At 30.0% G+C, this 11,723-nt stretch overlaps 1 annotated feature.

Moving 5' to 3' along the window:
* Window positions 401–902: an enhancer, noted in NCBI's record as "OCT4 hESC enhancer chr13:63631082-63631583 (GRCh37/hg19 assembly coordinates)". NCBI's record gives its function as "activates a minimal SCP1, AML or CMV promoter by ChIP-STARR-seq in naive H9 embryonic stem cells {active_cell/tissue: H9 hESC(naive)}" and the evidence as "EXISTENCE:reporter gene assay evidence [ECO:0000049][PMID:30033119]".

Here is an 11,723-nt window from a genome sequence, read left to right on the forward strand (position 1 = left end):
CAAGAACTTCTTATCTTGTTGAAAGTCATTGACATTTAATGAGATATGACATAATGATATTCCACCAAATACCGTAAAATTTGACAGATTAATCTGGGGAATTTGACATCTTAGTAATGATTTTTTTCATCCCATCTGTTATAATTAATTACCATATATTGTGTAACACAAATTTATACGTACTGCTTTATCTGCCTTTCACAAGTTTCAAGAAGTAATATTTACATACTGAGTTCTAAGGAATTTTATCTGTATTATTAGTTTTGTATGAGCTCATTAAATTTTTATGTCCATAAGGTCTTTTATGTTATTTTACTGTTGTTACTAATGTTTATAGTGATAACAATATGGTCAAAAAATAAGGCTTATGATACTAATTTTTCAATAAGATATGACCAGCACATGATTACTTATCCAAATATATCATGGGTTTTTGAAACCGTGTATATGCTTTAGTTTGGAAGAGCTGTGATATGGTTTGGCTCTGTGTCCCCACCCAAATCTCATCTCGAATTGTATCCCCATGTGTTGAGGGAAGGACCTAGTGGGAGGTGATTGGACCATGGGGGGAGATTTGCCCGTTGCTGTTCTCCTGATAGTGAGTGAGTTCTCAGGAGATCTGATGGTTTAAAAGTGTGGCACTTCCCCCTTCACTCTTTCTCTTTCTCCTGCCTCTGTGGGAAGATGTGCCTTGCTTCCCCTTCGCCTTCCACCACGATTGTAGGTTTCCTGAGGCCTCCCCAGCCATGCAAAACTGTGAGTCAATTAAACTTCTTTTCTTCATAAATTATCCAATCTCAGATAGTTCTTAGTAGTACTGTGAAAACAGACTAATACAGGCTGCATTCTATGCATTTTATTCAGCTTAAACTTACTAATTTTGTTACTTAAATTTTTATATGTATATAGAACTATATATGCATTTAGTCTATCATTGACTTATAGCTAACCTTGTTCTATCATTTTTGCTTTGTATAATTTAAGCTCTTTTATTACTGTAAATTTAAAACAAATATATCTAAAATGTACTAAAACTTTTTGAGTCTATATTGGCCTTGGTCTTGAGTTACAGGTTTTGTTTTGGTTTGTTCTTATTATTGCTTTGCCTTAATGTTTATTCTACTGGTAATAGCCTATGTAGAATAAGATTCTTGTGATTAGTACTCACATGAGATATTTCTGTTATTTTACTTTTGACCATCTGTAAGCATTAGAAAGGTTTTTTTTTAAAAAAGCATAAATTTGGAATTTTTTTATTTAGTCTGAGAATTTTTTTGTTTATTTTAGAGACAGGGTCTTGCTAGATTGCCCAGGTTGGGCATAACCTCCTGGGCTCAGGAAATTCTCTTACCTTAGCCTGTCTCATAGTCTTCAGCCATGAAGCTGTCTTTCGGCATGAAACTCAACTGGTAATTTTTTTTTTCTTAGAGGGAATTTTTAAGGCATTTTACCATTAATATTTTTAAAATATTTAATATTTTCATCTATTTCAATAATTTTGTTGTGCTTTCCTTTACATCAATTTTCATATTGTTTATTTTTTAAATTTTGACTTATTTTAGAGTAATAGTTATAGGTTGGTTTTTAATTTATTTGGCCCCTGCCCCAAATCTGAGGATTGGCGTTTTTTGAACAATTCTGAGAAACAATCATTCTGATGTGGGCCACGACTTCATTTACATGGGGTGTACACCAAGTAACCAATGGGAAACCTCTAGAGGGTTTCCCCAGAAACTCTGTAATAGGGCTCTTGAGCACCTTTTCTCAGGCCAGCTCCTACCCTGTGGAGTGTACTTTGATTTTCAGTAAATCTCTGCTTTTGCTGCTTCATTCTTTCCTTGCTTTGTTTGTGCATTTTGTCCGGTTCTTTGTTCAAAACGCCAAGGATCCGGACACCCTCCACCGGTAACTATTAGATTGTGTCTCTAGAAACTTAGTGGAGACTTTTAGCTTTTATTTTTGATTTCTACTCAATGTTATTGTCAATATGGGCAAATACATGATCTTTTGTAATAAGGTGTGCATTTTTGTGCACTCAGGAGATCATTCCCTGTGGGGTCTTGTCTCTAAACTGAACTTTCACCCTTTATAGGTTCCAGGTTTGGTAGTTTATCTCTCGATTTGTGCAAAAAAAGAAAAGAAATAAACATATATATATATATATATATATATATATATATATATATATATATATATATATCTCCACTAAGATTCAGTTCTAGGCTAAAAGTATTCAACAGACGTTCTCGGTGTTAATACCAGTTACAGTACTATCTTACTTCTCTGCATTTGTGTTTTTTTATTATTATTATGATTTATGGCCTTTATTTTTATCTATTTAGCTAAGAGTTTTGGTTTTCTTAAGCCATCCTATGTCTCTAATATTTGTTTAGTCTTTAAATATATCGTATTTTTTTGCGTATAGAAATTCAAAACCAAATTCATATGACAAGTTCTTGTTTTGTAAGCTAGATATTTACCATGTTTTTTTATATGTTTGTTTTGAATTTTCGTGTTATTCTTCTCCTATGTATGCAATGCCTATATACACATACACAGGAGGGCCAATATAATAATGCATTGTTAACATTTTAACAAACCTTCCCTAGAAATTTTTTCCCATAATACTTATTGAGATGAAAGCATAAAAACTAGTTTAAGATTAAACAGTTATTAAGTGGAAGAAACTGCATGCTGAACTCTTTGTGCATAAACAAATAGTGGACTCATCCAACTACACCATAAAAAGACATGTCAAAATATTATAAAATTGTAAAGAGCTATATATTGGGAAATACTCTAAAGAAGGAGGTAATAAATGTGAACTGGGTATATTGAGATCTCATCTATAATTTTGAGGAAATGGCTTCGTATTACAATGACAAAATTTTGTTAATTACCCAATAAAAATGTTGTCAAATAAACTGAATACCTGTTTTAAAATTTATCAATTTATTTATAATTATTTATAATTTATCAATTATTATTTAAATTTACACTTTAGGGACTAATTGTACTAAAAATAAATTATAAATTGTTTCCACAATTTCAGGATTCAAAATTATGTTTTTATATTACAACCATTATATTTGTTTTGGGAAACCAGTAGTTTGATATACATTTTATATGTACTTCATTTATATCAAGAGGCAATCTTCTTGAAACATTCTATGGAAATCAAGCTTTATATATCAAACAGTATTAATCTAAGCATATATTTGAAAAAAGGAGATAACAAATTTTTCTTTTACAAAGTAACAAATTGTTTCATTTATGTATCAAAAATTTCTGCAAATAAAATGAAATCACACATATTAAAAAATAAAAAAGTCTCCTTAGTGTTGAATAAAATCTAAACATTAGATGTTTTATTTATAATTTTAAGTTTTCTCTTCTTGTACATCATCCATCTTTATAAAGCTGAAATACCGTTTTGACTTGAAAGTTATGGTATTCTTCTGTGTGTTTTATATAATCCGATCTCAGATTCAATGCGATATAGAGTAAATTTAATGAGAAAGTTATACCTTGTTTACAGATCCTGCCACTTAATAGCTTGAAGGCACTGAAACTTAAAATTCACTATATGTTTTTATTAATAATAAAATAATGTCACATCTAATTTACATAACTGTATAAAGCTTTTGAATATTTAAACTTATGCAATCGTACATTATATGTGGTGGCACAAAGTGTTAAATATTATTGCATGAATAATTTTAATTATATTTATTAAAACTTTTCATCTCCCAATAATTTTTTATTTTGACACTTCAATAAAAACATTAAAATGATAAAAATGATATTTTGATGTTATAATTCAAAATTTCCATTGTCTTGAATATATGAGATTGACTAAAAGGAATATTAGCACATCTGCTACAGTATAGAATTTACTAATTTTTAAATATATCAAAAATACCTAACTATTTGTCATTCATCATGTTTTATTCCTGATTTAAAACTGAAAACATAATGTATGAAAATATATATTTTTAATTTTTGGGTCATGTACTAATGAAAGACATACAATCATAAGAAATTTCTTTATCCAACCTGCCTGAAATAATATTCACATTGTCTTGATTTTCTCAAGAGTTTATTCACTTTTTACATAATCATAAGTTTAATTTTTAATAAGATAGTAGTATGTAATTAAAATTTATAAGTGCATTATTATTTCCAATTAATTTTCAGATTATTTTATAGATGATTGTGTCATTTTAAAAGACATTGCTTCCAAATGTAAATAAAGTGAGCATTCCAGATATATTGTAAAGATTATATTCATAATTGGATTATCTATCTTCACGGATAAGGAAAAAGTTTTAAACACAAAACATTAAATATAAGGTGAGGGTGTAATATTGACTTATTTGTAATTAGAAAACTAGATCAAAACATTCTCTTAGCAAAAATAGGTGAACCATTCTGGAGCAAATTACTAATATAAATTATTTGGAGGTAAATGTCAGTTTTGCACTTAATGCACACATTCATATTCCTTTATAATAAATGATTACTAGAAATTCATATACTATACATAAGTAAGCATTTCCATAGGCTGTCAACCTAATATATGCTTATGCAAAATATTAGGACTTTATACACTTATCGTTTTAAAATAAGAGTTGTCTTCCATAAATTTTGAGATTTTATTACAGAAGGTAAAAATGCTTTATTGTTTCTGGTTTTATACAAATAACATTTATCAGTTCACACCATTTATAACTGATAATCTATCTGTACTTAAAGTTTTCAAGCTTCCTTGTTAATTTAAATATTGTTATTCTTCCATGAAGAAATCTAACATTGTATGATTTTAGAGATAATCTTGGTAAACTTTCTAAAATTTTTTACTACGGAATAATTTTCTTTAGGTTTTCACATCATCCACTATAATAGGTAATAACTGGTGCCTGCATTTTTTTCTCAAGCATTGGGAAATGAACATAGTTAATGACTCACATAAAAATATTTATCCTGTATCTCATATTTTAAGTTGACAGTGTTAAATATGACAATTAATGTTAATATCTGAGTCTAATGTATTTGCAGAAAATGTGTAAGCTATATAAACACAACGCTAAAAAATGACAAAGGAAGTTTCCTGTTATGTTAAAATTGAAACCTAATTCACTTTCAAGTCCCCAATTTTTTTGCACTGTATTTATTACTTTTTTTAAAAAAAACAAACTCTTTTATTTAAAGGTGAATATTTAACTTGGTTAAGATGTGCAAATGTGTTTATCTAATTGAGACAAAAGTTAAACAATTAATTGTCTTAAATCTATTTTACTTTTTTTCCATGTGAGTGTATATCTATTTTTGAGCCAGTGTTTCCTTAACGTTAAATGCAATGCATATGTCCTCAGAATAAAACACTCATGTCCAGTATTTCTCCGTATTTATTAAAAATAATTATCTAGACAATATATAATTTTACTACTAAATTGGAAAATGCATTTACTTAGGAAAATGTGCCTTACTCTTCCTGTGAAGCTTGACATAATTTTCTTCTTTACCTCACCCATTTATCTTTTCAAAAGATCTCAGAGAAGTCCTTCCGGATAATTCCATCTAAAGTATCCCTGTCCCAACTCCACTTCCCCAACACATATTATCTTTTACTCTTAGAAGTTTGTTCTATGCTTATTTGTTTCTAGATAGTTATTTTCGTGCTGATAAGAGTGCCAACTCTGTAAGGACTCTGTGTCATTTCTGCACCTTATATTCCTACTAAGATAATTACCTGCCACATAAAAAATAAATTAATATATGTACAGTTGAAATACATGGAGAAACCACAAAAATACTTCCTTATAAAATTCTCCTAATCCAGTATCAGTAGATTTAACAGCTCTTAACATTTTTATTAACATTTTCTTAGAAGAAATTGATGAACTGAATTTTAGGCATGTTAAACAACAGCGTCCTGTACAACATCTGATTGTCAATATGTATTATTGTTTGGGTGTGTACGAATAAAAAGATGCCATCTGTGCTAGTAAGGAAGATTTAGGAGTTACTATTAATATAATAGTGGGGTCAATTTAATTAAAGTTGATACAATTGCCCAGTGAAGTATAAAATATAGAAGAAAAGAGAATATAGCCAAACACTGAAGAAAACTAGTATTTATGGTGTGGACAGAGGAAAGGAAATGGAAGAAGCTGGTCCAGATTGTCCAACAGATTTTGTGTAGGGTGGGAGCTCATTACCTTTTTTTCTACCAGCAACCAAGAAACAAAACAATTCAGGCACTCTGCCTTTTTTTTTCTTTTTTTTCTGTCTCATCCACTATCAAATCCAGAGTTTGAACGGCTCCTTCTGCCAATGAAAAGTAATAACAAAGGAGAAAAGCTAGTGGAGATCAGTATTACGGAAATCAAAAAGAGAGCAATTTTCAAGAAGAATAGGTTATTAAATATCAAAGAGAAATCAGAAAAGTCAGAAAAGTATCTATTAATTTGTTAAATACTAATTTTTTAAAAACTTAAGGCACAGATCAATTTTCATTTACTTCAATTTTCCCCGAGGTTTGCTCTACTGAAAAGATTTTATCTGCTATGTGGTTCTTTTTTGCCTATCTTCTCTGAAGGACTCTCCTTAACAATGAGCTTCCTGATACATGTCCTGCTGATCACACTAAGACTTCATGACTCTTTTGTGCTCTAATTTTTATGACAATTTCAGTCATTAGGATTTGAGAGGTTTAGATATCTTACCAAAATTTTGAGGGATGCCACGAGGTGTTGCATTAAGTACAGTCCAGAGTATCTCTATTTTTCTAATTCAGTTTCACTAAAACTTTTAAATTCGTTCCTTTTTATACTCTCAATGTAACGAAGCCTGCGAGCCTGCCATCATAAGACTTTTTCATTTGTAGATACGAAGTTCGAATCTCCTTCTGCCCTGTGAGTATATTCTGGCTACGAAATTCCAACTGCTTCACTGTTGTATACACTGAACAGATCAACCCCTTTCCCCCACGCTCCTTTAGTCTATCCTGTTGAATAAAGAGCGTATTTTCATTTGATATTATCTAATGCTTCTTTGAGAGTACAACTTTGTTGGATTTTTGAAGGACATGATGTGGATGCAACAGAAATGACTGAATCTATACCATATTATCTAGAATACAGTGGCATTTGATTAATGTTTGTTGAGTTCTTAAAAACATATTTTTTCTCTTAACAGTACTGGCACAATTTCAGTATTTAAAAAGTATGTGTGTATTTTACAGCAGATTTGTCCTCCTCATTCTCTAAATGAAATATACAGTGTCTGTCAACTTCAGCATTTCCATATCTCCTCTTTCTCATTCCCCATGCCAGGAGGAATGCCTCTAATAGTTTTATACACTAGAGCTTAAATATATCTAGAGCAAGTAGGTCTTTCTAAAATGAATAAAATGAAAATGGATTATGTGGCAGACTACTGTGTGATGATACAACTCATTAATATATGTAACAGTAACTTGTGCAACACCAGTGTAATCCACAGGAAAAAAAAAGATAAATAATCTTTACATGGGGATCAGTTGTAGAGTATCATTGAGAAGAACAGAGCATGTTAACTGCTACTTCAGATATCAGGTAGAATAGAGAGCTACTAATCATTTGTAGCAGTAGAAGATGCAAAGGGTTGGTGAAAAGAGTGTCCTAGTTATCAGTCCTCAGAACATGTTTAGTCTTCTACAAGGGCCCACCAAAACAAACAAACAAACATGTGGGGAATATTCTTTGGGTACTCTTAGTGCTATCAGTGAGGAATTTAGGTAAGGCTGAATTTTCACAGAAATAGATCGGAGTCTAACAAATACTTTTTTTGTAATTGTTTTTAGTTGCCTATTTTTACTCCAAGAATGGCATAGCCAATAAAACAAACAAAACAAACAAACAAACAAAAAAACGCTGGATGCCGTGGCTCACGCCTGTAATCCTAGCACTTTGGGAGTCTGAGTCGGGCAGATCACGAAGTCAGGAGATTGAGACCATCTGGCTAACACGGTGAAACCCCGTCTCTACTAAAAATATAAAAAATTAGCCAGGCTTGGTGGCGGGCACCTGTCGTCCCAGCTACTCGGGAGGGTGAGGCAGGAGAATCGCTTGAACCCGGGAGATGGAGATTCAGTGAGTCAAGATCGTGCCACAGCACTCCAGCCTGGGCAACAGAGCGACACTCCATCTCAAAAAAAAACAAAACAAAAACCTAAAAAACAAAAACAAAAACAGACAAACAAACAAAAAACAAAGAAACCCCCTCCCAAAAAAAACCCTATTTTACATTTATATCAACTAATAACTAGATGAGATGGGACTAGGGCCAGTTTAATTCAAAAGTGAAAACAATCATTTACATGAGTTGCTTACATACACACACACAGAAATTATCTTCTTTTTAAAGTTTACTGCTTTCACAACATTATGAGTCTTCTGCTTGCCTTGGGAAAAAACACTGTAAGCTGTTTTTTGTTTTGTTTTGTTTTGTTTTTAATTTATGTTGTCTGTTACCATAACATTTTGTGTAAATAAAATATTTAGAGGAAAGAATGAAATACTGTCTACCTACTTAAGTGAATATAGATGTAAGAATATAAATATATACATAAATGAAAGGTATTACCCTGGGACAGAGCGAAGTAAATCTTGTGAGGTTCTCTGAGAGCATTTGGACATACTGTGTACCTGAAGATACATAAGGGGTACATTGTTGTATAGTTTCCAGTTCTTAAGCAAGCTACCATGTTCACAACACATGCAAATGTTAAATCTGAATGCTGAGCCAAAGGAATATATTCCATTTATAACTGTTGCAGTTATATGTGCTGATTATAGTTGATATTTTGGCCAACGAAATATTTGCATAGGAACATAAATATTAATTGTATGTTCCATGAGAAGCATGCCTAACTTTGGTCAACAAATATTTAACATTAGAGATGTTAAAATTTTTTCCTATATTACATAAAATGAAGAATTGAAAAGCTTCTTTATTTTTTCTGATATATAAAGAGCTAAGAACTGTGTTTGGCACCATACAAATATGAAAAAATAGTATCTACGATTAAAAGTTTTCCAAAAATATTATTAATTAATTATTTTATGTGTTTCATTCATTCATATTGAGTAATGACAGTATGCAATTTCTCCTACTAAGAACAAGCAATAAATTGGTAAATAAAGCTTTTATAGTGTACTTCCAGAGATACATATTTAACAAGGCATTTGCAGGCTGGGAATATAGATGCAATGGAAGAAGTGGGTATTGCTATTATACTGTATAGAAAGGACACCTAACATAATTTTGGAGCAAAGGGATTTATTCCCAGTGTAATTAGTATCTACTTTGAAATATGTATCATAATTTGCCAGGTGATGATTGGGTGAAGTTTTGCAGGAACCAACTGCATACAAAAAGAAAAAATACTGGCAGCAAAAGAGCATAATTAGTGGCCAGTATGTGACACCAAGAAAAAAAAATTCTTAATTTGCTGTGGTTTCACAATGGCAATGTGGTAATCATAAAAACAAATCCTTCTTCAGAGATGATTAGTGAGCTATTTACAGTATTACAGCATTGCAGTTATTTATGATCTTCAAAGTAAACATTAAAAGACTACAGGGTAAAATGAAACAGTATTGGCAAAATGTTGAGAACATTGCAAGTAAGGCATAGGCATATGAGTTTTAGTAAACTTCTCTCTAACTTGGTGTGTATGAAACATCTCCATAATAAAAATTAGAAGAAAAAATTAGAAGTAAAAATTAGAAGAAAAACCCCACAGAGAATGAAAGAGAATTTATAATCTGGGAAAGTTATTTGAATTCTAAAAACAAAAAATTGCAATAATATATACGCAAGTGTTAATTATTCCTAAGAAAACTATAGATAACTTCAAAATTATAGGCAATAGGTTTTCATAGAAAAGTAATTAGGAATGACTTATATAAATATAATTAGTAATAATGAAAATGCAAATTAGAACCAAAATGAGATGTTTCATATCAAATTGACAACAATTAAGAAGCTTACTAATATCAAGCATTAGTAAGAATTTTCATCAGTAGTTTTATTGCTCTTATTAGATTTTTAAATTGATACAAGTACATTAATAATGTGACAGCCATATAAAGTTAAATATCCATAAACTCCAAAAAGCAGTAATTTCACTGTTAGAGTCATATATCTTTGGGAACTCTTGTACTTCACCACCAATATTTCCATAAGAATATGACTGTAGTTAAGTGGGAGAGAAAAAACGGTTCAGAGGACTGAATGGCTGTATATAATGTAATATATTTGCCAGTGAAATACCATAGATCAGAGAAAATACGGTTACAGAACACACTTGAGAAATAAAATATATTAATGAAAAAGAAAGCTGTAAGACTATTTATAGCATAACTTTTATTGTCAGCAAAATTATAAAAAAAAATAAACACTTGCATATGCATATATACATATTATGCATTTTAGGAACTTTACATTTGTGATTAAACATTTTTAAATCTAAAAAAATTCTGCATATATATATATATGTATATATTCAGATTATTGGTTAACCTGGGATAGAGGAAAACTTTAGGATACAGTAAAAAGAAACAAAAATTCATATAGCAATACCATTGGCTTTCTGCTTGATGGGTTTAGTAGTTAATTCCTGAGGGTTTTTTTTTAAATTATTGTGCTTTTAGGTTTACATGTGTGTTGCATAGATTTTTTTCATGTATCACATATTATATAATGAAACAGTTAAAATGGATTAGTATGAGGGCATTCATACAGAGCGAAGGTTATTCATTACCAAAGCCAGGATGTGTGTATTATGTAATTATAAACGGAATAATTCATTCTTAATTTATAACAATCTAAACTGATCATACCAAAGGATATTGTATTGAATTAGCTGAAGTTAATACTCATAAAATAAGAACTTTAAAAACATAAATCAGAGTTAAAATATTTGATGTATCTACTTTCATATGTGACCATATAAACAATTTGACAAAGACAAAATATGTCAATTAGCAATGATGTAATGGATTTCAGTAAAATTGTCAGCAGGATTAAAACTATGTGTATACACATAAATCTTTGTATACTGCAGAGAAATTATATGTTTTTAATACAAACAAAGAAAACAAGTGCATTTAATCAAAACAGTTGCAAGGCATACAGTTTTAAAGAATAATAATCCAATAATAAAGTATTAAGAAGTAAAATGTAAGGTGACTATTATTTCTATATACACTTATGAAAATTATGAAATATTTAAAAATAATCAGTATCAAAAAACCTAAAATTAAATTCATCTGGAAATATATTAATTTAAAAAATTAAATAGCACAAGTAAACAAAAATCTTAGCTATACTAGAAAAAATAAAGTTATCACTTACAATACTAATGAAAGAAAAATAGCTTTTTCACACAAAATGATGAATGCTCTTATGATAAAGAAAATGAGCAATAATTGTGCTGTTTATTTCAAATTCATTATTGCAAAATAAAGGCTTTATAGCTATAACCTGTATTTTTCGTTCATTATCTAGGTATTATTTGAATATAGCAATATTTTCACAAATTATAATATAAAATTTTAATAATACCTCATTTTCTCTAATTACTTCACATTTGATGATGAATAAGAGTTAAATGAATATCTAATCTGAGGATGTTAATCTTATAATTGCATCTAAGAATCTTTTCAATTTTACTG

This window comes from Homo sapiens, chromosome 13, assembly GCF_000001405.40.
Source record: "Homo sapiens chromosome 13, GRCh38.p14 Primary Assembly".
Taxonomy (NCBI): domain Eukaryota; kingdom Metazoa; phylum Chordata; class Mammalia; order Primates; family Hominidae; genus Homo; species Homo sapiens.